General features: G+C 50.7%; 2 protein-coding genes, 1 long non-coding RNA gene and 2 other non-coding genes across 11 annotated transcripts, besides 17 other annotated features; 3 read left to right on the top strand and 2 right to left on the bottom strand.

Annotated features, from left to right (window-relative positions):
* Window positions 36-145: an enhancer, noted in NCBI's record as "active region_11679". NCBI's record gives its function as "activates an Ori minimal core promoter by ATAC-STARR-seq in GM12878 lymphoblastoid cells {active_cell/tissue: GM12878}" and the evidence as "EXISTENCE:reporter gene assay evidence [ECO:0000049][PMID:35858748]".
* On the bottom strand, window positions 335-406 carry TRW-CCA3-3 (tRNA-Trp (anticodon CCA) 3-3). Its single transcript has one exon. It is a non-coding gene; the product is annotated as a tRNA-Trp (tRNA).
* Window positions 376-425: a silencer, noted in NCBI's record as "silent region_8170". NCBI's record gives its function as "represses an Ori minimal core promoter by ATAC-STARR-seq in GM12878 lymphoblastoid cells {active_cell/tissue: GM12878}" and the evidence as "EXISTENCE:reporter gene assay evidence [ECO:0000049][PMID:35858748]".
* On the bottom strand, window positions 3,952-12,654 carry LOC105371520 (uncharacterized). The gene is made up of 4 exons (NR_188261.1): window positions 12,566-12,654; window positions 11,890-11,988; window positions 5,249-5,365; window positions 3,952-4,102 (listed from the first exon to the last, which is right to left on the bottom strand). It is a non-coding gene; the product is annotated as an uncharacterized LOC105371520 (long non-coding RNA).
* Window positions 9,622-10,233: an enhancer, noted in NCBI's record as "H3K27ac hESC enhancer chr17:8079849-8080460 (GRCh37/hg19 assembly coordinates)". NCBI's record gives its function as "activates a minimal SCP1, AML or CMV promoter by ChIP-STARR-seq in naive H9 embryonic stem cells {active_cell/tissue: H9 hESC(naive)}" and the evidence as "EXISTENCE:reporter gene assay evidence [ECO:0000049][PMID:30033119]".
* Window positions 10,087-10,206: an enhancer, noted in NCBI's record as "active region_11678". NCBI's record gives its function as "activates an Ori minimal core promoter by ATAC-STARR-seq in GM12878 lymphoblastoid cells {active_cell/tissue: GM12878}" and the evidence as "EXISTENCE:reporter gene assay evidence [ECO:0000049][PMID:35858748]".
* Window positions 10,234-10,845: an enhancer, noted in NCBI's record as "H3K27ac-H3K4me1 hESC enhancer chr17:8079237-8079848 (GRCh37/hg19 assembly coordinates)". NCBI's record gives its function as "activates a minimal SCP1, AML or CMV promoter by ChIP-STARR-seq in naive H9 embryonic stem cells {active_cell/tissue: H9 hESC(naive)}" and the evidence as "EXISTENCE:reporter gene assay evidence [ECO:0000049][PMID:30033119]".
* TMEM107 (transmembrane protein 107) lies at window positions 10,384-14,307 on the top strand. 6 transcript variants are annotated; one of them, NM_001351279.2, is made up of 5 exons: window positions 10,384-10,564; window positions 10,738-10,805; window positions 10,907-11,007; window positions 12,148-12,223; window positions 12,492-14,307. In NM_001351279.2, the coding sequence occupies exons 1-5, from the start codon at window positions 10,478-10,480 to the stop codon at window positions 12,559-12,561; spliced, it is 402 nt and encodes a 133-aa protein (NP_001338208.1). In that variant the 5' UTR covers window positions 10,384-10,477; the 3' UTR covers window positions 12,562-14,307. The 6 variants fall into 6 exon arrangements, 5 of the variants coding, with proteins under 5 accessions (NP_001338208.1, NP_898888.1, NP_001338207.1 ...); NM_183065.4 differs by having other exon boundaries at window positions 12,148-12,244; NM_001351278.2 differs by having other exon boundaries at window positions 10,889-11,007.
* Window positions 10,387-10,436: an enhancer, noted in NCBI's record as "active region_11677". NCBI's record gives its function as "activates an Ori minimal core promoter by ATAC-STARR-seq in GM12878 lymphoblastoid cells {active_cell/tissue: GM12878}" and the evidence as "EXISTENCE:reporter gene assay evidence [ECO:0000049][PMID:35858748]".
* Window positions 10,507-10,596: an enhancer, noted in NCBI's record as "active region_11676". NCBI's record gives its function as "activates an Ori minimal core promoter by ATAC-STARR-seq in GM12878 lymphoblastoid cells {active_cell/tissue: GM12878}" and the evidence as "EXISTENCE:reporter gene assay evidence [ECO:0000049][PMID:35858748]".
* Window positions 10,757-10,806: an enhancer, noted in NCBI's record as "active region_11675". NCBI's record gives its function as "activates an Ori minimal core promoter by ATAC-STARR-seq in GM12878 lymphoblastoid cells {active_cell/tissue: GM12878}" and the evidence as "EXISTENCE:reporter gene assay evidence [ECO:0000049][PMID:35858748]".
* Window positions 10,837-10,896: an enhancer, noted in NCBI's record as "active region_11674". NCBI's record gives its function as "activates an Ori minimal core promoter by ATAC-STARR-seq in GM12878 lymphoblastoid cells {active_cell/tissue: GM12878}" and the evidence as "EXISTENCE:reporter gene assay evidence [ECO:0000049][PMID:35858748]".
* Window positions 10,947-10,996: an enhancer, noted in NCBI's record as "active region_11673". NCBI's record gives its function as "activates an Ori minimal core promoter by ATAC-STARR-seq in GM12878 lymphoblastoid cells {active_cell/tissue: GM12878}" and the evidence as "EXISTENCE:reporter gene assay evidence [ECO:0000049][PMID:35858748]".
* Window positions 12,980-13,159: an enhancer, noted in NCBI's record as "active region_11672". NCBI's record gives its function as "activates an Ori minimal core promoter by ATAC-STARR-seq in GM12878 lymphoblastoid cells {active_cell/tissue: GM12878}" and the evidence as "EXISTENCE:reporter gene assay evidence [ECO:0000049][PMID:35858748]".
* Window positions 13,176-13,312, top strand: SNORD118 (small nucleolar RNA, C/D box 118). The gene has a single exon (NR_033294.2). It is a non-coding gene; the product is annotated as a small nucleolar RNA, C/D box 118 (small nucleolar RNA).
* Window positions 13,640-13,729: an enhancer, noted in NCBI's record as "active region_11671". NCBI's record gives its function as "activates an Ori minimal core promoter by ATAC-STARR-seq in GM12878 lymphoblastoid cells {active_cell/tissue: GM12878}" and the evidence as "EXISTENCE:reporter gene assay evidence [ECO:0000049][PMID:35858748]".
* Window positions 23,449-23,508: a silencer, noted in NCBI's record as "silent region_8169". NCBI's record gives its function as "represses an Ori minimal core promoter by ATAC-STARR-seq in GM12878 lymphoblastoid cells {active_cell/tissue: GM12878}" and the evidence as "EXISTENCE:reporter gene assay evidence [ECO:0000049][PMID:35858748]".
* Window positions 23,639-23,738: a silencer, noted in NCBI's record as "silent region_8168". NCBI's record gives its function as "represses an Ori minimal core promoter by ATAC-STARR-seq in GM12878 lymphoblastoid cells {active_cell/tissue: GM12878}" and the evidence as "EXISTENCE:reporter gene assay evidence [ECO:0000049][PMID:35858748]".
* VAMP2 (vesicle associated membrane protein 2) lies at window positions 23,816-27,617 on the top strand. 2 transcript variants are annotated; one of them, NM_014232.3, is made up of 5 exons: window positions 23,816-23,886; window positions 24,395-24,515; window positions 24,998-25,156; window positions 25,240-25,291; window positions 25,893-27,615. In NM_014232.3, coding segments are annotated over exons 1-5 (351 nt in total). In that variant the 5' UTR covers window positions 23,816-23,884; the 3' UTR covers window positions 25,910-27,615. The 2 variants fall into 2 exon arrangements, with proteins under 2 accessions (NP_055047.2, NP_001317054.1); NM_001330125.1 differs by lacking the exon at window positions 23,816-23,886 and adding an exon at window positions 23,888-24,320 and having other exon boundaries at window positions 25,893-27,617.
* Window positions 23,899-24,088: a silencer, noted in NCBI's record as "silent region_8167". NCBI's record gives its function as "represses an Ori minimal core promoter by ATAC-STARR-seq in GM12878 lymphoblastoid cells {active_cell/tissue: GM12878}" and the evidence as "EXISTENCE:reporter gene assay evidence [ECO:0000049][PMID:35858748]".
* Window positions 24,379-24,488: a silencer, noted in NCBI's record as "silent region_8166". NCBI's record gives its function as "represses an Ori minimal core promoter by ATAC-STARR-seq in GM12878 lymphoblastoid cells {active_cell/tissue: GM12878}" and the evidence as "EXISTENCE:reporter gene assay evidence [ECO:0000049][PMID:35858748]".
* Window positions 24,599-24,648: an enhancer, noted in NCBI's record as "active region_11670". NCBI's record gives its function as "activates an Ori minimal core promoter by ATAC-STARR-seq in GM12878 lymphoblastoid cells {active_cell/tissue: GM12878}" and the evidence as "EXISTENCE:reporter gene assay evidence [ECO:0000049][PMID:35858748]".

Genomic DNA, 27,648 nt, shown 5'->3' with positions numbered 1-27,648 from the left:
TGGAAGGAATCCGCTCGGCACTGGAAAGAGAACTCGTAGATCAGAGACCGACTTCTTCCATGCGTGATGGCCCGACCCTCGTCCCTCTGCTGAGAGGTCTAGAACTGCTCCTGTCTTAGGACCCGCGTTATCCGCCCAGAATTACGGTACCCGGATCCATCGCAAAAATCCCCGCGCGATGGTTGGGCTGTCCAGACGGGGCGGCCTTGGAACTTCCAGAAACCCCTCTCCTTCAGGCCCCAAGGAGATATTGCTTCTTCAATGACCTGAACGCTGAAGCTCGACCGTAGTTTAAAATAAAGGGGGTTAATAAAAACCGAAGAAAAATAGCCGCTGACCCCGACGTGATTTGAACACGCAACCTTCTGATCTGGAGTCAGACGCGCTACCGTTGCGCCACGAGGTCGGCCGGCCACTCGGCAGCTCAGGTCTCCCCATGACCACTGTGCGCCCTGGAGGCCAGGGTCATGAATCGAGGCATGGATGGGCACCTAGGGCATTTCTGCCCCTCTGAACAGCTGCGGGGTCGTATCTGCGCTCGCCGAGCCAGCCCTGTAGGACGAGCCGGGCGAGTGGCACCCCAGGGCAGTGACTATGGGATCCAGGCTTAGCGGTCTGTCCCTCCCGGCCCCCGGCGTCCTGCCAACGCCCAGATAGAGGGTCCCGAGCTGATCGCCAGGGGATCCCAAAGCTTACAGCCCAGTGGGGACGGACCTGCCTAGAAACGGATGGAAGGATGGGAACCAGACGGAACGTGACAGAGCAGTGCCAGAGCCTAGGGCACCTGAAGTGGTAAGAGATTTGCTCCCCCAGCAGCAGGTCTCCTCCCCGGTTGCACTTTTGTAATTGCCTGCGGAGACTTCGAATGTACCCACGCACAACCCCCGGGTTCGGAGATTCTGATTTAAACGGCCCAGGGAAGAGCTCTGAGATCGGTATGTAAAACTTTTGAAAAATATCGGTATTTCAACTGTTGGAGGGCAGATAAATTTTGTCTATATTTTGATGAGTTTTGACAAATACATACACCTGCGCAAATCACAACTCTTTAAAAGCATATAGGACATTTCCCTCTCTCAAGGTTCTTGCATGTCTGTCCCTTCTCTACGGATCCCCACTCCTCCCTTGCCAGAGGCAATCTCTGTTCTAATTTTAACCACCACAAACATCAGTATTTCTTTTTTTTTTTTTTTTTTTTTTTTTTTTTTGAGACGGAGTTTCGCTCTTGTTGCCCAGGCTGGAGTGCAATGGCGCGATCTCGGCTCACCGCAACCTCCGCCTCCCGAGTTCAAGAGATTCTCCTGCCTCAGCCTCCCGAGTAGCTGGGATTACAGGCATGCGCCACCATGCCCGGCTAATTTTGTATGTTTAGTAGAAACAGGGTTTCTACATGTTGGTCAGGCTGGTCTCGAACTCCCGACGTCAGGTGATCCGCCCGCCTCGGCCTCCCAAAGTGCTGGGATTACAGGCGTGAGCCACCATGCCCGGCCAACATAAGTTTTTTGTTGTTGTTTTTCTGTTTTTGTTTTGTTTTGTTTTGTTTTGTTTTTTTGAGACGGAGTCTCACTCTGTCGTCCAGGCTGGAGTGCGGCGGCGCGACCTTGGCTCACTGCAACCTCCGCCTCCCGGATTCAAGCAAGTCTGCCTCAGCCTCCCGAGTAGCTGGGATTACAGCGCCCACCACCGCGCCCAGCTATAATTTTTGTATTTTTGGTGGTGACAGGGTTTCACCATGTTGGCCAGGCTGGTCTTCAACTCCTGATCTCGTGATCCGCCCTCCTCGGCCCCGCAAAGTGCTGGGATTACAGGCGTGAACCACCGCGCCCGGCTGTTTCTAGAAGAATGAAAGGAGTTCAATAGGCCGAGATGGCACAAGAGGTCCTGCCTGTATCTCATTCCTTTCCATCCAAGCCAAATTTCTACACAGTGGCTCTCTCGAAAGTTATCAGGGACCACAGAGATGTCAAAGCCAACAGGCTTTCTCAGGCCTGGCCTTAACCGACTCCAGGCAACATCTTCTCCATGAGCCTCATTTCCCATGGTTGTCTTGACACTAGTCTGCTGGCCCTTCCTAACTGGCTCCCCGCTCCAGTCTCTTTTTCTTTTTTCTTTTATAAATTTTTTTGAAACGGAGTCTCACTCTGTCGCCCAGGCTGGAGTGCTGTGTGGCGCGTTCTCGCTCGCCGCAACCTCTGCCTCCCGGGTTCAAGCGATTTTCCTTCCTCAACCTCCCGAGTAGCTGGGATTACAGGCGTGGTGCCGGTTAATTTAATTTTTTTTTTTTAAAGTAGAGACCGGGATTCACCATGTTGGAGAGGCTGGTCTCGAATTGCTGACCTCAGATGATCCACCCGCCTCGAGCTCCCAAAGGGCTGGGATTACAGGCGTGAGCCACCGCGCCCAGCTCCAATCTCTTTTTCTGTTCTCCCTGTAAATCCTGGTTTTCCTCGGGTGAGGTTTTCTCTCCTCATGCTACACATGTTCTACGGATTCAGCTATTTCCTGCTTGCTAAGGGCTCCTGAATCTCGCTCCCACCTCTGGACTCAGATGTGTAGTGCCTGCTGATACCTTCACTTGACCCTGCCATACTTCCTTCCAGTCTTTCTGCACTCCCAGAGAGTGGCCAGGCCCAGGCTGGGGGATGCATCCTTGATTCTTCCCTCCCCCTACCGTCTTACTTCCAGTCACCACATCCTGTCAATTCCATTTCCTCAATAATCCCCCTGTCAACCATCCTTCCCCATCCCACTGACAACCCCTCAGCCTCTCTTGCTGGATTGTTGTAGCAGGCTCCTCTCTAATCTCCCTGCCACCCGAATAGTCAGATAATCGTCTTTTTCTTTTTTTTTTTTTTTTTTTTGAGATGGAGTCTGGCTCTGTCTGGAAGAAGAGGAGGAGGAGGAGGAGACGGAGCCGGGCATGGTGGCTCACGCCTGTAATCCCAGCACTTTGGGAGGCCGAGGCGGGTGGATCACCTGACGTCGGGAGTTCTAGACCAGCCTGACCAACATGTAGAAACCCTGTTTCTACTAAACATACAAAATTAGCCGGGTGTGGTGGCGCATGCCTGTAATTCCAGCTACTCGGGAGGCTGAGGCAGGAGAATCTCTTGAACTCGGGAGGCGGAGGTTGCGGTGAGCCGAGATCGCGCCATTGCACTCCAGCCTGGGCAACAAGAGCGAAACTCCGTCTCAAAAAAAAAGAAAGAAAGCAAGCTTAGGCACCAACCAGAAGAAGCTCCCACCGACCAAAATTGGGACAATTTGAACATCAAAAAGAATAACTGCAATGGATTGAAATACACAAAAGATGTTAAAATGTACAAGTTCATAATGATATTAAAAACAACTAATTACTTTTTCAAGATGCTAGAGAACCAACTCATTTTTCTGAAAACTGGTAAATCATAAGAAAAAACCCACACATTTATCCTGCCTTTCCTGTATGACCTGTATCTCATGGTAAACAAATTGATGATGGCAAGTTCTTACTGCAGAATGACAGAATTAGGACATCCCAATTTTGCAACTCCTAATGAAATAATAGAGCTAGGCAGTGATGATCAACTAAACCATTAGGTGAAAAACGGACGGGGAATTTTATAATTGTTGCCTAGTCTGACTACACCTGAACCCAATGCTCAGCCTAAACACTAGAAAAACAGGGAAAAGCAGGCGTCCTGATGCAATGGAATCAGGAGAACAAACCGTCACTCATGATGTGTTTTTACCAGAAAACTGAACGTGAGACTAACCAACCACTGGATCTAAGAACCAGTTTACAGGACATGCAGGGCATGGAGGAACATGTTAAATCACATCACAAGAATAAGGCCCAGAAATGGCTCAATGCCTTCAACTGATAAATTGCAAGAAAAGAAAAGAAGGAGAAAGGAGGTGAGGGGGTAGAGAGGAGGCAGGACCCAAGATGAGCGAGACATGACAACCAGGTGCAATGTGTGGACTTTATTTGGACCCAGATTCAAACAAACTGTAAAAGAAAAAAGAAGTGTGTAGGAGACACTTGGGCAATTTGAACTGTTTGATGACGTCTAGGATTTGCTTCAAAATAACCTGGTGTGTGCCATGAGGGAGGGTATACCTGAAACAAAGTTGGCCATGTGTTGATAATTGTTGAAGCAGAATAGAAGTGTTCATTATCTCCCCTCCCCTCGGCTCCCCCATCCTTCCCTCTCCCCACTCCCTCACCTTTCCCCCTCCCCTCCCCTCCCCTCTTTTTGAAGGAGTCTTGCCCTGTCACCCAGGTTGCAGTGCAATGGCACGATCTCAGCTCACTGCAACCTCCACCTCTCAGGTTCAAATGATTCTGCTGCCTCAGCCTCCCGATTAGCTGGGATTACAGGCACCTGCCACCATGCAGCTAATATTTGTATTTTTAGTAGTGACTGGGTTTCACCATGTTGGCCAGGGTCTCGAACTCCTGACCTCGTGATCTGCCCACCTCGGCCTCCCAAAGTGCTGGGATTACAGGCATGAGCCACCGCACCCGGCTATTTTCTTTATTTTGTCATGTTTGAATTTGTCCATGATAAAAAAACGATTTTTAACTCCTTTTATTAAGAGTTCAAATCTTAGTACTTGTGGGTCCCAGTCCTGGAGTGAGTAGTCACTTGGGGGGACACCTCATCACCAGCAGTACCTCCTATGGCCACTGGCTGGCTCTAAATATCGGTTTTGTGAGCAGGCAGAAATAGCGTCTCTATAGGGCAGGCTTCTGTGAACCAAGGTCATGGAAAATGACAGGAAAGGCTACTCACTGTTTATCAGTTCAGGACATGAAATGTGACTACCCCGTTGTTACTTATATAGTAAGTCCCCTATGCAGAAGGCCTATTTTTTTTTTTTTTTTTTTTGAGACGGAGTCTCGCTCTGTCGCCAGGTTGGAGTGCAGTGGCTCGATCTCGGCTCACTGCAACCTCCGCCTCCCAGGTTCAAGCGATTCTCCTGGCTCAGCCTCCCAAGTAGCTGGGACTACAGGTGCACACCACCATGCCTGGGTAATTTTTGTATTTTTAGTAGAGATGGGGTTTCACCATTTTGGCCAGGATGGTCTCAATCTCTTGACCTCATGATCTGCCTGCCTCGGTCTCCCAAAGTGCTGGGATTACAGGCGTGAGCCACTGCGCCTGGCCCAGAAGGCCTATTATAAGCAGAATGCCCCAGACCTCCAGCTGTCAGAGCCCCCATAATCTAACAGCCATCCTGACCCTCCCTTTTTCCCACTCACCCACAGCACCAAGTCCAGACTTCCTTTATCTTCTAAATATCTTTTGATACCCTCCACCTCCTTTGTCCAAGCCTCATCCTGTCTCTTCTGGATAATTATTAGCCTTCTGTTTAAAATCTGCTTAAAAGAAAGAAAAAAAATGGAAGAAGAATATAAATAAAAATAAAATTTGCTTAAAATCCATTATCCATGTTGCAACTAGAGTCATCATCTAGAACACCAACCTGACCATGTCCCTCCCTGTAGCTGCAAGGCCTGGCTTCATCTGGCCCCTGTTTACCTAACGAACCTCACACTGAACTTTTCTTCCCCTTCCATCACTAGGTTTCTGAAATGCTGCCTTCCTTACTGTTCAACAAACACACTTGGCTTGTTCTCACCATCTTTGCACTTGCTATGTCCTCTGTCTGGAATGCTCTTTCCCTAGATGTTCATGTAGCTGACTCTTTCACTTCCTTCTATTCAGAGACCTTGGAAAACCTTGCAAAAGCAGGTCCTGGATTTTCCTCACTTTTGGCCTATGACAACTTCTTTCATCTGTGAACAGTTATATTTGATGAATCTCTCACTGGGGGAGCTCACCTCTGAAGGTCTAGGTCGAAAATGCATGTAAGTTGCAGACAGAGGGAAGAAAAGCATGGAGAGTTCGTCAGTCTTTTTTTTTTTTTTTTTTTTTTTTTGAGACAGGTCTCACTCCTGGCACTCAGGCTGCAGTGCAGTGGTGTGATCATGGCTCACTGCAGCCTCCACTTCCTGGGTGCAGGTGAACCTCCCACCTCAGCCTCCCAAGCAGCTGGAACTACAGGTGTGCACCACTATGTTTGGCTAATTTTTTGTATTGTTTTGTAGAGACGGGGTTTTGCCATGTCGCCCAGGCTGAACCTTCAGTCTTTTTATCTTGTCTCCTAAGAACGTTTGAATGCTTGCTATGCTGTAATTTCTGCATTGGAGAATACAGGAAGCTCATCTCTCATTGTAAATTAGGTGTCATTACTATCACTCATTTTAGGAATCAAATGCAATGGGGGTCATTTCAAAGGAGAAAACTTAATGGGTTTCCTTGTCCATCCTGAGAGCAGGGAGGTTTGAAACTATCTTCAGAACTTTGAAGGGGTCCAACAGTTAAGAAAAGAACTGGCCGGGCGTGGCGGCTCACGCCTGTAATCCCAGCGCTTTGGGAGGCCGAGGCGGGTGGATCACCTGAAGTCAGGAGTCAGAAGTTCGAGAACAGCCGGGCCAACATGGTGAAACCCCGTCTCTACTAAAAATACAAAAATTAGCTGGGCATGGTCGCGGGTACCTGTAATCTCAGCTACTAGGGAGGCTGAGGCAGGAGCATCACCCCAACCCACAAGGCGGCAGTTGCAGTGAGCCGAGATTATGCCATTGCACTCCAGCCTGGGCGACAAAGGTGAAAACTCTGTCTCAAAAAAAAAAAAAAAAAAAAAAAAGGGAGGGGGGTGCCGGGTACGGTGGCTCACGCCTGTAATCCCAACACTTTGGGTGCCGGGAGACTGAGGCGGGCAGATCACGAGGTCAAGAGATGGAGACCATCCTGGCCAACACGGTGAAACGCGGTCTCTATTAAAAATACAAAAATTAGCTGGGCATGGTGGCGTGCGTCTGTAGTCCCAGCTATTCCGGAGGCTGAGACAGCAGGATCACCTGAGCCAGGGAGGTCGAGGGTCACTGTAGTCATGATCATACCCCTGCACTCCATCCTGAGTGACAGAGCAAGACCCTGCCTAAAAAAAACAAAGAGAGACTTTGTTGAACCTCCTTTAAAAAAATAATAATAATAATAATAGTAACTCCTCAGTAAAGTTTAGAAAATCACAAGCTTTTATTTCATGGGGATAAAAGCAAGTTTTGGTGATTACATTGTCTCCAATATGAAGAAAAGGCTGTGCTGTCTTTTAAAGAGATGGTTTATATGAAAATGTCATTACATAGTTTCAATATATAGGAGTTCAACATTTTAGGGACCCTCAATCCTATAAATCATTCCATTTTTTTTCCAATTTCTTGTCTTAATAATACAATATAAGACTCCGAAAACATTAATGTTTATTGTTTAAAACTTTTTTTTTAAGACGGAATCTCATTCTGTCACCCAGAGTGGAGTGCAGTGGTGTGATCTCAGCTCACTGCAATCTCCACCTCGTGGGTTCAAGAGATTCTCCTGCCTCAGCCTCCCGAGTAGCTGGGACTACAGGAGCGTGCCACGATGCCTGGCTAATTTTTGTATTTTTAGTAGAGACGGGGTTTCTCCATGTTGGCCAGGCTGGCCTTGAACTCCTGACCTCAGATGATCCACCCGCCTCGGCTTCCCAAAGTGCTGGGATTACAGGCGTGAGCCACCGCGCCCGGCCTAAAACTTTATTAAAAAGATATCTATGTATGTATATATGTGTGTGTGTGTGTATATATATATATATATATATATATTTTTTTTTTTTTTTTTTTTGAGTTGGAGTCTTGCTCTGTTGTCCAGGCTGGAGTGCAGTGGCGCAATCTCGGCTCATTGTAACATCCGCCTCCCGGGTTCAAGCGATTCTCCTGCCCCAGCCTCCCGAGTAGCTGGGAATACAGGTGTGTGCCACCATGCCCGGCTAATTTTTTTTTTTTTTTTTTTTTTTGTATTTTTAAATAGAGACGGGGTTTCATCATGTTTGTCAGGCTGGTCTCAAACTCCTGACCTCAGGGGATCCGCCCGCTTCGGCCTCCCAAAGTTCTGGGATTACAAGCGTAAGCCACCATTCCCGGCCTTTATTATTGTTTTAACAGAGAGAGGTGTCTCACTATGTTGCTCAGACTGGCTTCAAAGTCTTGGGTTCAAGGAATACTTCGCCTTGGCCTCCCAAAGTGCTGGGATTACAGGCATGGGCTTTTGCTTCTGGTCCCAGAGTGCATTTTCTTTTTATTTCTTTTCTTTTTTTTTGAGACGAAGTCTTGGTCTGTTTCCCAGGCGGGAGTGCAGTGGCACGATCTTGGATCACTGCAACCTCTGCCTCCCGGGTTCAAGCACTTCTCCTCCCTCAGCCTCTGGAATAGCTGGGATTAGAGGCGGGCGCCACCACACCTGGCTAACTTTTTAACTTTTTTTTTTTTTTTTTTTTCAGTAGAGATGAGGTTTCACCATGTTGGCCAGGCCGGTCTGAAACTCCTGACCTCAGGTGATCTCCCTGCCTCGGTCTCCCAAAGTGCTGGGATTACATGCCTGAGCCACCGCTCCCGGCCAATTTTTGGCCAAAGTTTCTAAAATAAAGTTTAAGGTTAAATGTCCGGCTGGGCGCGGTGGCTCATGCCTGTAATCCCAGCACTTTGCAAGGCCGAGGCTGGCGGATCACGAGGGCAGGAGATCGAGACCATCCTGGCTAACACAGTGAAACTCCGTCTCTCCTAAAAACACAAAAAATTAGCCGGGCATGGTGGCGAGCGCCTGTAGTCCCAGCTACTCAGGAGGCTGAGACGGGAGAATGGCGTGAACCCGGGAGGCCGAGCTTGCAGTGAGCCGAAATTGCGCCACTGCACTCCAGCCTGGGAGACAGAGCGAGACTCCGTCTCAGAAAAAGTAAATAAATAAAATAAAACAAAATAAATGCTCTATTTTAATAGAATTATAAATGCCCTATTTTTATAGAATTATAATTCTAGCGTTTCTTTTTTTTTTGGAGACGGAGTTGCGCTCTTGTTGCAGAGGCTGGAGTGCAATGGCGCGATCTCGGCTCACTGCAACCTCCACCTCCTGGGTTCAAGCGATTCCCATGCCTCAGCCTCCCGAATAGCTGGGATTACAGGCACGCGCCACCACGCCCGGCTAATTTTGTATTTTTAGTGGAGACAGGGTTTCAGCATGTTGGTCAGTCTGGTCTCGAGCTCCTGACCTCAGGTGATCCGCCCTCCTAGGCCTCCTAAAGCGCTGGGATTACAGGTGTGAGCCACAGTGCACAGCCCGCTTTTCCCTGTTTGTAGCGCCTATTATCTTACGGATTTATTTGTTTGCATGTCTGTTGTTGATCTCCCTGACTAGAATACCCTTACTAGGTAATCAATAAACATATACAAATATTTGTTGAAGGAATGAGAAATGCCTCTTGGGCTTGTAGTTTAGGCTGGCTAAAAGCACTGAGATGGGGAGTGGGGAGTAGGAAGAGATTGTTCTCCTGGGAGATGGGCCGGGAGGTTCCTTGAGGATGGGACTTGACTCAGCAATTAAAGAACTTTCAGATCTGCAGGGACCTGCGCTGAGGCCCAAAGGTCATGAGGTCGCCGATGATAAGAGCTTCTTGGACTGTAGCTGGGCAATGTCGGAGGCCCAGCACCTCCAAGGGACAAAGAAATCTGAGTTGAGTTTCCCTTCCAGCCGGCTCCAAGCCTCCCAGAGACGCAGGGACTGTCCCATTCCCTTCGTCCACTCCCACTCTTTCCAGCCACCTTGCTCTGCTCTTATCCCCATGCTAGTTTAAGGACGCTGGCCATTTTTTGCACTCTGCAAATCCCTCACCAAACTGAGCAAAGTAGTCTGAAAGAAATCAGTCTTCCTCAAGGAAGGTTCAGGCCTGGGGTCCTCAGACAACCAGGGGCTCCGTGACAATCTGTGACTGCAGAGCAGTCCAGGAACACCGGCCTCTCCAGGTTCGGGTCCCTTGTTTCTCAGGCCCAGCTTGGTGGGAAGCTAAAGGCATGCAGAGGAGGGGAAGGGGAGCGGGTCTGAGTCTTCGGCATGGCGGGGAACTCAGCCCGGCGTGGTGGTGGCAGCGGTCTCAAGTGATCCACAACTGGGCAGCGTAGCTGGGGCTGGGGGCCGCTCCCGGCGTGGGCAACAGCAGAAGCATTGGTGTCCCCAAGCTAGGCCAGGGTGGGTTTCCGTTCATCCGCCCTGCGTGGGCAGATCGGGCGCTGCGGGGCTGTGCCACCTCGCACCCTCTGAGGAACAAAGGGCCTGGCTGCGCGCGGGTACCCAGCCGTTAGGTTAGAAGCGCCTTCGGGTACCCCTGACCTTCGCTGGCCCTGAGAGACCCGCAGCAGCCGGAGAATGTACTGCTCGCGAGGATTTCCGAGAACGCGGCGCCGAGCCCGCGTACACGGTTACCAAGGCAACTGGGCGGTGCCTGAGCGGGCGGGAAGGAGGCGTTCGTCTAGATTTGTCGGCTTGCGGGGAGACTTCAGGAGTCGCTGTCTCTGAACTTCCAGCCTCAGAGACCGCCGCCCTTGTCCCCGAGGGCCATGGGCCGGGTCTCAGGGCTTGTGCCCTCTCGCTTCCTGACGCTCCTGGCGCATCTGGTGGTCGTCATCACCTTATTCTGGTCCCGGGTAAGACCCACGGCTGCACTCAATCCGTCCCCATTCCCATCTCTGAGTGGTCCTAGTCCTACCCTGCCCCCTCCCAGTGTCTTACCCTCTTGGGTTTTCTTGTTTCCCGCCGCCCCCAGGCCTGCCCTGCAGCCTGCCCCTTTTTCACTTCTCTTCCTGTGCCCTGCTCCCAGGACAGCAACATACAGGCCTGCCTGCCTCTCACGTTCACCCCCGAGGAGTATGACAAGCAGGACATTCAGTGAGCTCTTGGGACGGGGTGGCCAGAACGAAGAGGTGGTGGGAGTGGAGGGGTCTTAGAATAAGTCCAAAGGCCTGGGCCAGTCCACTTCCTCTCTGCAGGCTGGTGGCCGCGCTCTCTGTCACCCTGGGCCTCTTTGCAGTGGAGCTGGCCGGTTTCCTCTCAGGAGTCTCCATGTTCAACAGCACCCAGAGCCTCATCTGTATCCTTTCTGCCTGCCCACCTTTCCCACACGACCCACTTCTATCAGGACTCCCTTCAGCCACCTGACACAATAGTGTCTGCTGTAGCCAATCCTTCCAGTTCAAAGATCTTCAACGATGTGCTAAATCCTGCTGTTTACTAGGCACTTAAAATCCCAAAATGAGAGTAAAATACAGTTTTTGGCCAGGCATGTTGGCTCACGTCTGTAATCCCAGCACTGTGGGAGGCGCAGGCAGGAGGCAACATAGTGAGAACCCAAGTCTACAAAAATAATAGGAATAATAAAAACCCCACCGTTTCTTTTTACAATGAGGAGGAGGTAGATACAAATCTGTAATTCAGTGTGATAAGCACTGTGCTATAGAAGTGTGTGAAGATAGAAAGCACAGGCAGGGCGCGATGGCTCACGCATGTAATCCCAGCACTTTGGGAGGCCGAGGCAGGTGGACCACCTGAGGTCAGGAGTTCGAGACCGGCCTGACCAACATGGTGAAACCCCCGTCTCTACTAAAAATACAAAAATTAGTCGGGCGTGGCGGCGCACTCCTGTAATCCCAGCTACTCAGGAGACTGAGGAAGGAGAATTGCTTGAACCCGGGAGGCAGAGGTTGCAGTGAGCTGAGATCGTGCCACTGCACTCCAGCCAGGGCAACAGAGCAAGACTCTGTCAAAAAACAAACAAAAGATATAAAGCACAATGGGAACTCAGAAGAGGCAACGGAAGCGAGCACTGGGAACTCAGAAGAGGCAAAGGAGATGAGGCACATGGGTCAGAGAATTGTGGACCAGGAGGACCAGGACACTGGAGGCTGATTCCAGCGCATATTAAGTCGCTGTCAGCACTCCTTTGTGGCATAGCAGAAGGAGAGCCTACTCTTACCTCTCATCTGAAGGATCCAGGCTGGCCCACAGATAAGGGGTAGGGTAGCCTGAGGTCCGATCTGTGCAGTCACTTCTGGTCTCTCCTCACATGACTGTCCTAAAATTCAGAAGTCAGAGCTGCTGACTCTAGCCCTTGAAACATGGTGAGGGAGCAAGGGATGAACCTGAATGCAGATGCCAGCCCCACCACTGGCCTTTTCTGACCCATCACTGTCTGTCGATCCAAAGACTTTCCTTAATCTCGTGCCTTCCCAAGCCATTGGGGCTCACTGTAGTGCATCCGTGGCCCTGTCCTTCTTCATATTCGAGCGTTGGGAGTGCACTACGTATTGGTACATTTTTGTCTTCTGCAGGTGTGGTAGCATCCAATATTTGGGGATGAGGGAGGAAGGTTGGCCCTAAACCTGAAGGTTTTTCCCCTACCCAGCCCTTTCCTCCATGTGTGAGATACCAGATCCACTCAACATCCTGTAGGCTTTTAAAGTTTCATCCCCTACCCCCCATGCCACCTGCCCTACACTTTCAGAGGTGGGGTCTCTGGTTTGGAGATTTGGGTATTTATACTGAAAGGGTTTCTGAATCTACCACTTGCCTTGGTAGTGCCCTTCCAGCTGTCACTGAAATGGCTTTATTCGTCACCGTCTTTGGGCTGAAAAAGAAACCCTTCTGATTACCTTCATGACGGGAACCTAAGGACGAAGCCTACAGGGGCAAGGGCCGCTTCGTATTCCTGGAAGAAGGAAGGCATAGGCTTCGGTTTTCCCCTCGGAAACTGCTTCTGCTGGAGGATATGTGTTGGAATAATTACGTCTTGAGTCTGGGATTATCCGCATTGTATTTAGTGCTTTGTAATAAAATATGTTTTGTAGTAACATTAAGACTTATATACAGTTTTAGGGGACAATTGAGATGGCTGAACTACTGAATAAAAAAAAAACAACGCTGTTTTCTAGTCCTGCAGACCGTAAGATACTTGGTATCGCTTCTATTTTGGTTACTACGGTAGGTGCCTGGCGGAAGGGAGTGGGCGGAGATATGTAAATAGAAAGTGCGTACAGTTAGAACGTCCGGCACGTAACTGATCGGAGCATTCTGGGAAGAAGTAATTTATTCCTTTTCGGCAGCCGAATGAAAAAAAAATTTAAAAAAATGTGCGAGCTAATATGGCAAAACAACTGGAAGGACGCTAAATAATAGGATTGCTCATACCAGCGCGTTATGAACTCACCCTAGCTTGTAACGGAATCTTTTTCACTGAGTGCAGAATGTCGGCTGTTTGTCTGTATCGTCAGGTGGGATAATCCTTACCTGTTCCTCCTCCGGAGGGCAGATTAGAACATGATGATTGGAGATGCATGAAACGTGATTAACGTCTCTGCGTAATCAGGACTTGCAACACCCTGATTGCTCCTGTCTGATTCTTTCTGACGATCACTTACATTTGTGTTATGCTGATTAGCAGATATCCACAAACATAGCTATGAAGTTCTGACTGGGATAACCTTGCTGTTTGTCTATTTTGCAGTCTTGCTATTGCTGTTTGTCTATTTTGCAGTCTTGCTAAATTTGTTTGTTCTTGAAAATTGTGATTTGGTTTTTGTTGCTTTCTGGAATTTAGGCAGTGAAATAATACAAATGGGCTCTTTGTTTTTTGTCGTTTGATAACTTTAATCCTCACTTCTCAGGAAACATTGCACATCAGTAAATATCTGCAGTCTTGTGCACATGGTGGTTGCCCTCAGGATGGTATTCAATAGGAACTGTATTTCTTTTTCCTTGAGGTAGGGTCTTGGTCTGTCGCCAAGGCAGGAGTGCACGGCGCAGATGTATATACATGGATACATTTGTTTTTGGAGAGTTGGTTGTTAAAAATCTACCAGTACACCCCCAAGAAACTCATCATCACCAATGACTTCTTCCCAAATCCAGAGTCACTTTTCAGACTTGAGATTGACCTCTCTTCAGCATATGGTATGTTGACCACCCCCCTCTTTTGGTTTTTTTTTTTTTTTTTTTTGAGACAGTCTCACTCTGTTGCCCAGGCTAGAGTGCAGTGTGCAGTGGTGGGATCATGGCTCACTGCAGCCTCAAACTCCCAGGCTCAGATGATCCTCCTGCATCAGCCTCCCAAGTAGCTGGGACTACAGGTGAGCACCACCACACCTGGTTGTTTTAAAATTTTTCTATAGAGACAGGGTCTCACTGTGTTGCCCAAGCTGGTCCCAAACTCCTGGGCTCAAGCCGTCCTCCCCACTAGGCCTCTAGGCCTCCTAAAGTGCTAGGATACAGGCATGAGCCACCGCGTTTCTCCCACTCCCCTCTTTTGCACTTTTTTCTCCCTTAGTTTTGAAACAGTGGTTCACCTGGTTTGCCTACTATTATACTGTTCTGGTTGTTCCTTCTTACATTAATTCAATAAATACTTATTGAGTACCTGCAGTGTGTCAGTTACTGGGGACATAATACTGGGTTGTCTCTTCTGCTTGCCCCGTAAGTGCTGGTGATCACTGCTCTTCGGGTGACTTCATCCATCTCTTGTTTTCTTTTCTTTTCTTTTTTTTTTTTTTTTTTGAGACGGAGTCTCGCTCTGTTGCCCAGGCTGGAGTGCAGTGGCGCGATCTCGGCTCACTGCAAGCTCCGCCTCCCGGGTTCACGGCATTCTCCTGCCTCAGCCTCCCGAGTAGCTGGGACTACAGGCGCCTGCTACCACGCCCGGCTAATTTTTTGTATTTTTAGTAGAGACGGGGTTTCACCGTGTTAGCCAGGATGGTCTCGATCTCCTGACCTCGTGATCCACCCGCCTCGGCCTCCCAAAGTGCTGGGATTACAGGCGTGAGCCACCGCGCCCGGCCCATCTCTTGTTTTCAAACATCAACTAGATGCTGCTGGTTTCCAGATCTCAGCTCACGTATGTGAGCCCTAGCCCAGGGCCAGGACTACAGGAACAAGCTCTGTAGCCAGACTGCCTGCCGGGGTCCCAGTGTGGTTTTTTCTCTTTTTGGCCGTGTGATGGGCAGGAGGTCACTTTCCCTCTTTCTGCCTCAGTTCCCTCATCCACACTCACACTTTTTTTTTTTTTTTTTGAGATGGAGTCTTGCTCTGTCGCCCAGGCTAGGGTGCAGTGGCGCGATCTGCAACCTCCGCCTCCCTGGTTCAAGCGATTCTCCTGCCTCAGCCTCCCGAGTAGCTGGGATTACAGGCGCCGGCCACTGCTGTCTGTCAGGGGAGAAGGGTAGCAGAGTGTCAGGCCTGTGGTAACTGCTCAGTGTCTTTTCCCTGAGTTGACTGGGTCTTGGGATTCTCCCATCATAGTAGACATCTGTTTTTGCCAGTTCAGTATCCATCCTTTCTTTCTGGTAATAGCACCACCATTTTCTCTTCTTTTTCTTTCTTTCTTTCTTTCTTTTTTTTTTTTTTTGAGAGGGAGTCTCGCTCTGTCGCCCAGGCTGGAGTGCGATGGCGCAATCTCGGCTCACTGCAACCTCGGCCTCTCGGGTTCAAGCGATTCTCCTGCCTCAGCCTCTTGAGTAGCTGGGATCACAGGCGCGCGCCACCACGCCCGGCTAATTTTTGTATTTTTAGTAGAGACGAGGTTTCACCATGTTGTTCAGGCTGGTCTCGATCTCCTGACCTCGTGATCTGCCAGCCTCGGCCTCCCAAAGTGCTGGGATTACAGGCGTGAGGCACTGCGCCCGGCAGCACCACCATTTTCTTTTGGGAGACCCTCCCTTATTCTTAGTCTGCGTGGTTAGGAAGAGGCTGACAGCCACTCCCTCCCTACCATTCCTCTCTAGGCTCATTCTGTTTTCCTGGGCGCGGTGATTGGTTCAAGCATAAACCTTGACAACAGGACTATTGCTGGAACTTTTGGGAAAAGAGAAGCCTGGACTCTTCCTGGAAATAAAAGCATGCTATAAAATAAAATAATTAGCCTGGGCGCGGTGGCTCACGCCTTTAATCTCAGCACTTTGGGAGGCCGAGGTGGGCAGATCACCTGAGGTCAGGAGTTCAAGAACAGCCTAGCCAGCATGGTGAAACCCCGTCTCTACTAAAAATACAAAAATTAGTCGGCCGTGGTGGCGTCTGCCTATAATCGTAGCTACTCGAGAGGCTGAGGCAGGAGAATCGCTTGAACCCGGGAGACGGAGGTTGCAGTGAGCTGAGATCGCGCCACTGCCCTTCAGCCTGGGTGACAGAGGGAGTCTCTGTCTTAAAAAAAAAACAAAAACAAAAGCATAAAAGTATTCAAATAAATCTTGGAACTTTTAACCTTATATTTTGAATAACTTAATTTTTTTTTTCTTTTTGAGACGGAGTCTCGCTCTGTCGCCAGGCTGGAGCGCAGTGGTGCGATCTCGACTCACTGCAACCTCCGCCTCCCGTGTTCAAGCGATTCCCCTGCCTTAGCCTCCCAAGTAGCTGGGACTACAGACATATGCTGCCACGCCCGGCTGATCTCCCCTCCCCTCCCCTCTTTTTTTTTTTTTTTTTTTTTTTTTTGAGATGGAGTCGCCTTCTGTCGCCCTGGCTGAAGTGCAATGGCGCGATCTCGGCTCACTGCAACCTCCGCGTCCCAGGTTCAAGTGATTATCCTGCCTCAGCCACCCAAGTAGCTGGGATTACAAGTACGTGCCACCACACCTGGCTAATTTTTGTATTTGTAGAAGAGACAGGGGTTGGGGGGGAGGTTCACCATGTTGGCCAGGCTGGTCTCGAACTCCTGACCTCAGGTGATCTGCCCACCTCAGTCTCCCAAAGTGCTGGGATTACAGATGTGAGCCACCGTGCTTAGCCCTATTATTATTATTTTTGAGACAGGGTCTTGCCCTGTGGCTCAGGCAGGAGTGCAGCGGCATGATCATAGCTCACTGCAGCCTCAGCTGCCCCAGGCTCAAGTGATCCTCCCACCTCAGCCTCCCTAGTAGCTGGGATTACAAGCACCTACTGCCACTACTGGCTAATTTTGATGGCTTTTTTCGTTTTGTTTTGAGGCAGAGTCTTACTCTGTCACCCAGGTTGGAGTGCAGTGTTGCCTTCACAGCTTACTGCAGCCTTGACCTTCTGGGTTCAAACAATCCTCCCACCTCTGCCTCCGGAGTAGCTGGGACCACAGGCGGGTAAAAACACACCCAGCTAATTTTTTAACTTTTTTGTAGTGACGGGGTCTCGCTTTGTTGCCCAGGCTGGTCTCGAAGTCTCAAAGTATGGTAATAAAACACTGAAGGCATAAATGAAAACACTCACACACTTTAAATATATATTAGAATGTTAAAACTATGCATAGTACAAAAAATTATAAGCAAAAGTTAAAGAATAGATGATAATCTAGGGGGAATATTTTAAATTCATATTGCAGAGAAAGGACTAATTTTGACATATATATATATCTACAAATTTACAAGATAAATACCAATAACCCAATAAAACTGTACAAAACATTTCTACAGAAATTTCACTGGTAAGGAAATACAAAAAACTCTCAACTATATGAAAAGATGCCTAACCTCATTCATCAATGAGAAATGCAGATCATGTTTCAACTTAGCATATTTGTAATCACCAAAAAGTTTCATAGAGTGTTGGAGGGGGTGTGGGCAAACAGGCGTTGCCTATTTGTTGGTAGGAGTAAAAGTTGGTAACACATCTATGGAGAGCAATTTAGCAATTCCCATGAAAATCAAAATCACAAACACCTATTCCTTTGACCTAGAATTTATTTTTGTTATTTTTATTGTTTTTGAGACAGGGTCTCACTCTGTTGCCCAGGTTGGAGTGCAGTGACATGATCATGGCTCACTGAAGCCTTGGAAATCCTAGGCTAAAGTGAGCCTCCCACTGCAGCCTCCCAAGTAGCTGGGAATACAGGTGTGAGCCACCACACCTGACTAGTATTTTCATATCTAAGAATTAGCCCTACATATTTGCACACAGTTGAAAGGGGAATGTGTAGGATATTCTTTGCACCTTTGTTTGTATTGGCAAAAGGCTAGAAACAACCTAAATGTCTGTCAGTAGGGGATTGGTTACATTCTGATACATGCATACTGTGGAATACTATGCCACCAGAAGAAAGGGAATTTTATGCAGTATAATGGTACAATATACAAGATACATTAAGTGACAAAAGCAAGGTGCAGAAAAGTGCATGTAGTTTGCTTCCATTGGTGTAAAAAAGGGGAAAACTACAAACATGATTGCTTACATATGCATGGACCACCTCTGAAAGGAGGTGCAGGCAACCGGGAGTATTGGCTGTTGTGAGAAAGCAGATTGAGTGGCTGGGATACAGGGTGGGGGAGAAACTTTCTGCATATGCTCTTTTGAACTTTTGAAATTCTGAAGATAAATTGTGTGTGTGTGTGTGTGTGCATGTGTGTGTGTTTAATATACAAGGTTGAGTGCAGTGGCTCACACTTGTAATCCCAGAACTTTGGGAGGCCAAGGCAGGAGGACTGTTTGAGCCCAGGAGTGTGAGACCAGCCTAGGCAACATAATGAGACCCCCATCTCTACAAAAAATTTTAAAAATTAGCTGGATGTGGATGTGGTGGTCTCCGCCTGTGGTCCCAGCTACTTGGGAGGCTAAGGTGGGAGGATCACTTGAGCCCAGCAGTTCGAGGCTGCAGTGAGCTTTGATTGTGCCACTGCACTCCCTCCTGGGTGACAGAGTGAGACCATGTCTCTGAAAAAACAAATAAAAATTTAAAAACTATAACATTTTTGGGGCCGGGCATGGTAGCTCACACCTGTAATCCCAGCACTTTGCGGGGCTAAGGCCGGAGGATCACTTGAGGCCAAAAGTTTGAGACCAGTCTGGAAAACATGGTGAGACCCCCCCCATCTCTATAAACTAGATATAAATATATATAAAACTATAACATTTTAAACAAATGTGAGCCTGCAGCTGCTTATGTTGCCTGTGTGGAAATGAAGCTACGCCAGAGGCAAGCATAGCTGAAGAACAGAGAGACAGATCCCCGATGGCAACTTTTGAGGACCTGGATCCTGCTGTTTCTAGCTGTGTTCTAGTTACAAGATTCTTCTTTTTCGGTTTAATCCGTTTGAGGAGGGTTGGCAAGTGTCTTGGTCATTAAGTCCATCACAGCAAAGATCATGCTGTTTTAATAATCTCTCTTTGTGTTTATTATTGTAGCTTCTGATACCAGCACAATGCCTGGCATTGTAGAATGAGAGAGCCCTCACTTAACAAATGAGAAAAATGAGGCCCCAGGAGAAAGGCATTTGCTCCAGGACACCATGCAGAGTGGGAAAGCTGGGACTAGAACCCAAGTCTCCTGGCTGTTAGGCCAAATCAGTTGACTCAATTAAACAAATGTTTATTGAACACCTGCTACCTGCCAGGCTCTGGGCTTGGCATGTAATATGGAAGGTAATAAGATGTCAACCAGGTGCCGTGGCTCATGCCTGTAATCCCAGCACTTTGGGAGGCCGAGGCAGGTGGATCACCTGAGGTCAGGAGTCCGAGACCAGCCTGCCCAACATGGTGAAACCCTGTCTCTACTAAAAATACAAAAATCAGCTGGGCTTAATGGCAGGCGCCTGTAATCCCAGCTACTCAGGAGGCTGAGGCAGGAGAATTGTTTGAACCCAGGAGGCAGAAGATGGCACCACTGCACTCCAGCCTGGGGGACAGTGAGACTCCGTCTCAAAAATAATTAAATAAATAAATAAAAAGGAAGATGTGGGTTCTTGACAACCTCTCTATCTAGAGGAGAATTCCTCCCCCTTTCAAAACAACAGGAGCTTGTTAAACCCAGTGAATCTCTAATGAATGGAGGGTTGGAGAGTGAGGGACCGGAACCAGGAGTCCTTTCACGCACCCAATCCCAGGAGATTCTGATCTGCCTATGTCTTCTCCCACCCATACAGGGCTCTGGCATGTGGCACCCCCACCACCCACACTGCCCTGCTTCCCAGTGGCCAGGGGCCTGGGCCTGCTCTGCTGGCTGGTTCCCTGGTCGAACCAGTAAAAAGTGATCAGTGCTTCGCCAGCCCAACTAGGACTGTCCTTACAGAATACTGGGCACAAAGGTCCTGCCCAAACACATCCTTCCCGTTAGCAGTCTGTCTGCCTGCTATGCACTCACCATAGTTTATTATTCATTTGCCTGCCTCGTTCCTGGCACTGTGCTTGGTACTTGTTCAGAGAGAACTTCACATATTAAAAAGATACCACTTTATGTGTTTACATTATGCTTTAATACAAAAAGAGACACCTTCTTGACCGGGTGCATTGGCTCACGCCTGTAATCCCAACACTTCAGGAGGCCAAGGTCGGCAGATCACCTGAAGTCAGGAGTTTGAGACCAGCCTGGCCAACATGGCGTAACCCTGTCTCTACTAAAAACAGAAAAATTAGCAGAGGTTGTAGTGAGCCAAGCTTGTGCCACTGCACTCCAGCTTGGGTGACAGAGGGAGACTGCCTCAAAAAAAATAATTAAAAAGGCCGGGCACAGTGGCTCACACCTGTAATCCCAGAACTTCGGGAGGCCAAAGTGGGCAGATCACCTGAAGTCAGGAGTTTGAGACCAGCCTGGCCAACATGGCGCAACCCTGTCTTTACTAAAAATAGAAAAATTAGCCAGGCATGGTGGCGGACGCCTGTAATCCCAGGGACTCGGGAGCCTGAGGCAGGAGAATCTCTTGAACCCAGGAGGCAGAGGTTGCAGTGAGCCGAGATCACGCCACTGCACTGCAGCCCCGGCCGACTTCTAAACCAGTAATTGTCTGAAGAGAAAAAAAAATTACGAAATAAGGCCGGGCATGGTGGCTCACGCCTGTAATCCCAGCACTTTGGGAGGCCACGGTGGGTGGGTCACCTGAGGTCAGGAGTTCGAGACCAGCCTGGCCAACATGGTGAAATCCCGTCTCTACTAAAAGTACAAAACGATTAGCCGGGCGTGGTGGTGCACTCCTGTAATCCCAGCCACTTGGGAGTCTGAGGCAGGAGAATCACTTGAACCCGGGAGGTGGAGGTTGCAGTGAGCCGAGATCGCACCATTGCACTCCAGCCTGGGCAAGAAGAGCGAAACTCCATCTTAAATATAAATAAATAAATAATAATAAAAATAAAAAATAAAAGAAAGCGTTTATGAAAGTGTGGTCTCGGCCAGGCGCGGTGGCTCAAGCCTGTAATCTCAGCACTTCGGAAGGCCAAGGCGGGCGGATCACGGGGTCAGGAGATCAAGACCACCCTGGCTAACACGGTGAAACCCTGTCTCTACTAAAAATACAAAAAATTAGCCGGGCCGGGTGGTGGGCGCCTGTAGTCCCAGCTACTCGGGAGGCTGAGGGAGGAGAATGGCGTGAACCTGGGAGGCGGAGTTTGCAGTGAGCAGAGATCGCGCCATTGCACTCCAGCCTGGGTGACAGACAGAGACTCTGTCTCAAAAAAGAAAAAAAAAGAAAAAAAAAAGAAAAAGAAAGTGTGGTCTCTGTTGCCTACATCACCATCACCTTGAGTCCTACATCCTTTGAATGAGTCTTGGGGGTGTGCCCTAGAAAATCATTGGCCAATTCCCGAAGCCAGTACATGTAGAAGCCAAATCTGAGTTATGCAAATACATTATTTTTCTATTGTTCAACTTACCTCTATTTGGGTCTCCATTCTACCTGCCTGCAGAAAACATTCTCTCAGTCACTTCCAGGTGAACTCCGTCATCCCACTCCTTCTCCCACCTCCACCATTGATCTAAATTTGGGGAGTTCCTCTGAGCCACAGCCTAGGTGGGGTGGGGTGGGAAGGGGCTGCTGGATGAGAGTCCTCTTTCTGAGATGAATCCTCCTGGGCCCTTCATCTCCGTGGGTCACACATGCCCTCATTTCTACTCTGCTGCTGCCGTCCCCACGATCCAATAGCAATAGCACGACCCCTGGCCTTGACCGTGTATCTGGGGCTCTGTCCCTTCCACATCACCCCCAAACCAGCATCAAATGTCTTGTCTGGCTCTGCACTAGGCTCCCCTCAGTTAGTGCAGGGTGTCCAACTGGGGGCGGAAGGGCTTCCTGTGCCTGCCTCTTCCAATCCTCCATGTCTTATTTATACCCTGACAGACACTGAGGGTTTTGAACTTAAAAGGCTGGAATTTGGCATCTTTGTTCTCTGACTAGAAAGAGGAATCATTTGAAGACCAAAAAGCAGGAGCCAGCATCTCACAGCATGATCTGAGACCCCCGTGGAAGCTGCTCTTTTCTTTCTCATCACATAGGCTGAGCCACCCGGGACTGTCAGTGCACAAGGACCAGGGACGCGGCTGCTCCTCTGAGGGGGAGGAAGCCAAGAGTATCTTCTCTTAGATTGGGCTGAGTTCCCACACCCAGCACACACATTCCCTGCTCACTCACCTCCCACAGACAGCTGGGAAATGACACCTCTGGTGACAGAGCCACTCTCCGGGCTTCTGTGGGGAGCGGGTGGGGCACTGCAGTGGGGGAGGATCTCACACCCGGAGGCCCTGGGAAGCCAGGGTGGGGGAGGGAGGAAGCTGGTTCCTGTTTGTCTTAGAGATCAAGGCCATCAGCCTCCCTGCACCTTCCAGGGATGTAGTAAGCACCCCCACCCCAGGGCCAAAGGGCCTCGCCTAAAATGCCTCCTGCACCCTTGAGGCTTGCTTTGACCCCCTGCACTCCACCAGAGCGACAGCTCCCCTGGTCCCATCTTCTCTGACAAGCTGGGTGGGAGTGTATACAGCTGCTGGGTGTGCTTAGAGGGCCTAATGGAGACCAGCCAGGGATAATCTCCTATGTTATCCACATCAAGCCATTTAACAAATATGGATTTAGTACCTACATATGCAATGTATTTGGGGTCCAGAGAGAGGAGGGCAACGGTCCAAGGTCACACCTGCGAGGCGAATACGCATGTAAAGCAGCACCTTGTAACCTGTGCCCACTGTGCCTACTACTAAAGAAAAAAAAATGAGAGAAAAAGAAAAAAGGCTTTTTTTTTTTTTTTGGCCCAGGCCCTGTGCCTGGGACCAAAGCCTGAGCCCTTTCCTGCAGTCGGGTCGCTGACCTAAGCCTGGGGCAAAGCTAGGTCTTGGCCAGTCAGCAGCCACCACGTGAAGCAGCCCCTGCCCCCATCACCCCCGGCAGCCTTGTGCCCTCCTCCTCGGGGTCCTCAGCTCACCCCACCTCAGTCGGGCCTGCTCCAGCGGTTAAGTACCCCTAGTCTGAACCTTAATCGTGAGGCGGGGCAGCCCCCTCCCCACACCCTGTAGACACTCCCCCGTCCTCCGCCCCCTGGACTTGTTTGGGCGGGAAGAGCCTGCCTCATCTTTTCTTCCTACCCTCCTACCCAGTGGCCAGGGACCCCAGGCTTCCTCTGAGACATCCACCAGCGGTGATGGGTTGGGACCAATCTCCCCCACTCCTCTCCACCCTAGCAGTAAGGTCCCCGCTCTCGATACTGCCCCAGCACCTGCACTGGCCCTCTCTGATTTCCCAACTCCAGCCCATTCCAAGTGCTGAAGGCGGGTCGCTAGGTGCTGGGACCTGGGCGCGGGGCAAGACCTTGGGCTGTGTGGGGTGCAGGCTGGTTTACTGGGTTCACGATTGAGGGAGTGGTCTGGGGGTTAGGTGTAGGGCCAGGCTGCGTTGTGCTCTAAGGGGCAGGCGGCAGGCGGTTTGGGGGGGCTGTGGTCAGACAGGGTGGGGTGGCGGTGGGTTTGGGGAAGCCGCAGCAGCCCGCCTTGGGGTCCCGCGAGTGCCGAGGGAGCTGCCGGGGCATGGTGGCGCGGGGCCCGTGGTCCTGCCCGGCACGACCCCCGCCCCGCAGCGCCCCGCAGCGCCCCGCCCCCGCGGCCCCGCTCGCGACGCGTCTCCCGCGGCGCCCCGCCCCCGCCCGCAGTGCCCGGATGCGGGTGACGCGCGGCCGCCATCTTTCCGTCCCGGGCAGCCAGCGCCAGTCGGAGCCAGCGCGAGCCGCCGCCGCCATCACTGCCGCTGCCAAGTCCTCCACCCGCTGCCCCCGCCATGTGAGTCGGCCGCCCGCCACCCTCACCGCGCTTCCCTGCGCCGGCCGCCGCCCTTGGCAACCGGCCGTCGGGAGTGCCCGGGGTCTCTCCTGCGTTCCCCGCGCCCCGGGGCCAGGCCCAAGCCGGTGACTGCGCGCGGGCGGCCGAGGAGCCCCGCGTCCCGGGCTGGCCGGCTCGGGCGATGGCCGCGGGAAGGAGCGGACCCAGTGTCCTCCTGCCCCTCCCCGCCCCTGTCACCGCGGCCGCCTGTCTTTTCGGGTCGACCCGGATCGCATCTGTGAGGTCGCCCTCAGTTGACAGGCGGGGAAACTGAGGCCGGGGGGGCCTCGCTCAAGGTCACGCAGCTCATCGGCGGCAGGGCTGGACCGAGACCAGGGCTTACATCGGGTGGCCTTCCTCCCGAAAAGGAGGACTGGAGGGACGAGGATGGACAGGTGGATGGGCGGAGCCCTGGCTGCGGGGCCGGGAGGCTGCAGGCCCTGGGTCTTAATCCGTCCCTGCTCCTCAGGTCTGCTACCGCTGCCACGGCCCCCCCTGCTGCCCCGGCTGGGGAGGGTGGTCCCCCTGCACCCCCTCCAAACCTCACCAGTAACAGGAGACTGCAGCAGACCCAGGCCCAGGTGGATGAGGTGAGTGTGGGGGGAGTCAAAAGCAGTAGGAGGGACCCTGGGGGTTGGCGTATAGGTGTAGGGGCCCATGTTGGTTTGGGAGTGATGACAGTTCACGCCTGTGGGTTTGCGGACAAAGATACCATGCCCCATCCCTGTCTCCCTGTCAGCACGCACTTGGAAGGGCGCTGGGGGTGTTAATCAGCTTTGCTAGCCTGGGGTGTGCCAGCCTGGGCAGGTGTGCTCTGGTGATGGACAGAGCGCCTGAGGTTCCATAGAGGGAGGGTGTTGCTATGACATCTGAGATGTCACCAGCATGCCCCTGATGTGTGCTCCTTGCATGTCCCCAGGTGTGCTAGGCATGTTCTGTGTGTCCTTGGCATGTTAACCTGGCAGTATCAGGGTGCATGTTCCATGTGTGGCACGGTGGGCACATGTTTGAGGATTGCCCTCACTGAGGTGGGCCTTGGCACACCCCCCTGCCTCGTGGGCCCTTCTCCCAGGTGGTGGACATCATGAGGGTGAACGTGGACAAGGTCCTGGAGCGAGACCAGAAGCTGTCGGAGCTGGACGACCGTGCAGATGCACTCCAGGCGGGGGCCTCCCAGTTTGAAACAAGCGCAGCCAAGCTCAAGCGCAAATACTGGTGGAAAAACCTCAAGGTAAGGGTGGGGACAGGAAGGAGGACAGGTGGGTGAATGGGGTATCATAGTTTGTCTTACTGATCCTCGCCTCTCACCCCCAGATGATGATCATCTTGGGAGTGATTTGCGCCATCATCCTCATCATCATCATAGGTGAGTAGGGTGAGAATGGCCGGGGCCCTTTCCCTGGAGAGGTTTCCCCAGTGGATTCTAGGTTTTGAAGGTCATTAATCTAGTTTTTACTCTTCAGCCAAAAACACATATAGCTGCTAATGGCAATTCTGATTCATCTAGAGCCAAAAACTTTGATGTTATTTAGCCTGCATTTTGCCTAGTTCTTGGCAGTCTTGTTAACATTTGGAAATAGGAAAGCTGGTGTATCCATTGAGGACCCTTTAGGCCTAAGAGCCCAGTCTGAGAACCCTGGAATTGAGGAGTGGGAGAAAGGAAAGGACCAGGGGCTTGAGACATGACCAGGAAGCCAACCACCCCATTATTTGAGAGCTTGCGGTCTCAGAGGCTCAGAGGATTAGGGTCTGTGGCTTCAAGGCCATACCATGGAGCGGAAGGGACCTCAGAACCTACCTGTCTAGCCCCTTGCTTTGTAGATGGAAAAACTGAGTCCAAGAGAGGGTGTCAGCCAGCTGGGGAGTGGGGAGGATTGGAGCAGGGCCAGGCCTGACACACTGCTTTCTTGTTCTCTCTCTTTCTCTCCCCTCTCCCTCTTCCTCATCTTCTTCCCCTCTCTCCACAGTTTACTTCAGCACTTAAATCCCCGAGGAGTCTGCCCTGCCTAGAGAAGGGCCTCTCCCCCAACCCTCAGCCGTTCCTCCACCTCTCAGCCATATCTTTCAGCCCCCACTCCCCTGGATCCGTGTGTGTGTGTGTCCGTGTGTGTGTCCCCCTGTAAATAGCCAGCTGTTATTTATACATATATAATATTATATATATTTGGTCTGTTTGTAGTTTTATTACTAGATGATTTTTCCGGTTGTCCTTAACACCCCTTCCTGAGGTTCCCTTCACCCCTCTCTCTTGCCTTCCTTCCCTTTCCCTTTCTTCCTGACTAGCCCCAAGTCCCTTCATTTGCATCTGCTATGCAATAGTCCCTCTCCTTTCCTTCTTCTTCCCTCAGATTTAGCTGATCCTTCCTCCCACCCTGGCCTTCCTTTCCTCTTTCCTCCTCACTCTCCCCGTCATGCTCCCTCTGCCCCGCCCTCAAAAAAAAAAAAAAAAAAAAAAAAACAACAGCACCTGTCCAGGCTTCCTTAGGTACATCTTCTTTGTATCCATTGGGAGGCTCTGAGACTGGCCCCACTTGGTCCTAAGAATCCCAAGGTCTTTGGGAGCGTCCAGCATGTTAATTAGCGTATCATTACATACTGCTATCCCTTTCCATTTCTTTTTGTTCCATCACTCTTCTCTCAACCTGTGTTTCTTTTTTTACTGAGGAGTTAGTCCCCATTAGTTCTTGTATCACATTTTCATTTGCACGACATTACTCGCAGGTGGTGGGGAGCCTGGGCTTTTGGGGAACCAGGCTGCTCTGGTCCCCAGCATTGCCTCCTCCTAGCCCCTCTAGTCCAGTTTGCCTCCCTTACCCTCATTTTCCAAACCTCTTGTACCCTCCTCTCCCTCCCCCAGCTGGTATGTAAGTGTCTTGAAGTTCAGTATGTTATGATGGACCAATAATTCTGCCACTTCGGGTTTCTCCCTACATTCCTGCTCCCCAGTTTTCATGTGGGGTACTCAACTGACATTCCCATGGGGTTTCCCTCCCATCTGCCTGATCCACCTCCTCCTCCCACCAGGAGAGTTGGGGGTTGGCCACAATTGATCTCTTGTGAGAGGGGTGGCTACCAGTGTGTGTGTGGGGGTCATCACTGCCTTGGGGAGGAGTGGGGCAGGGCAGAGAATCCCCCCAATTCCTGCCTGAAATCTCTGGCCTCACCCCTGCTGGGGGTTGGACTGAAAACCCTCCTCCCCAATTTGGGGGGTGTTGCCCCATCACTGCCCAGCTCCTCTGACTGCCCCCCCTGAATTTAGGGTGGGGGTACTAGTCACTGCCAATGTGTGTATGGGACTTGCTGGAAAACGGGGATGCTTGCCCCTCTCCAGGACTATTGAGCCCAGAGAGAGCTGTCCTCTCATTGGGTGAACTGATTGAGGAAGGGTCTATTGTCTTTTTAAATGGCACAATTTTAAGGGTTTGAGGGTACAGTCCCTTAACCTGCCACGGGAGGGGGCCCCCAAACTTTCTTCCCCCCACACTTCTGGTTTTCTGTGTGGAGGGGGAGCAGGGATATCTAAGCTGTGGTGTGAAAGGGTAGGAGAGATGCTGGAGGTGGGGGTGCTGTGTTTTAGACCCCCCATATTATCCCAGTGTCCCCTGCCCCCCTCTTCCCCCACCCCATGCCCCCAATTCTGTGGCGCATCCAGATTGTGAAAATGTACAATAAATGTGTAATGAGTAACCAGGTGTTGTCTAAGATCTTTTTTATTTTTCTATT

This window comes from Homo sapiens, chromosome 17 (assembly GCF_000001405.40).
Source record: "Homo sapiens chromosome 17, GRCh38.p14 Primary Assembly".
NCBI lineage: Eukaryota > Metazoa > Chordata > Mammalia > Primates > Hominidae > Homo > Homo sapiens.
The sequence above is the reverse complement of the archived record's forward strand: the minus strand, read 5'-3'. Positions and strand labels throughout refer to the sequence as shown.

Bases quoted from the DNA above. Each gene is read 5' to 3' on its own strand.
- TMEM107 (NM_032354.5), top strand. From the start codon at position 10,478: ATGGGCCGGGTCTCAGGGCTTGTGCCCTCTCGCTTCCTGACGCTCCTG. The intron at 11,008-12,147 runs GTATCCTTTCTG...TGCCTTCCCAAG, and splicing joins CAGCACCCAGAGCCTCATCT to CCATTGGGGCTCACTGTAGT. The intron at 12,245-12,491 runs GTGTGGTAGCAT...TTGCCTTGGTAG, and splicing joins TACATTTTTGTCTTCTGCAG to TGCCCTTCCAGCTGTCACTG.
- VAMP2 (NM_001330125.1), top strand. The intron at 24,516-24,997 runs GTGAGTGTGGGG...CCCTTCTCCCAG, and splicing joins CCCAGGCCCAGGTGGATGAG to GTGGTGGACATCATGAGGGT. The intron at 25,157-25,239 runs GTAAGGGTGGGG...TCTCACCCCCAG, and splicing joins ACTGGTGGAAAAACCTCAAG to ATGATGATCATCTTGGGAGT.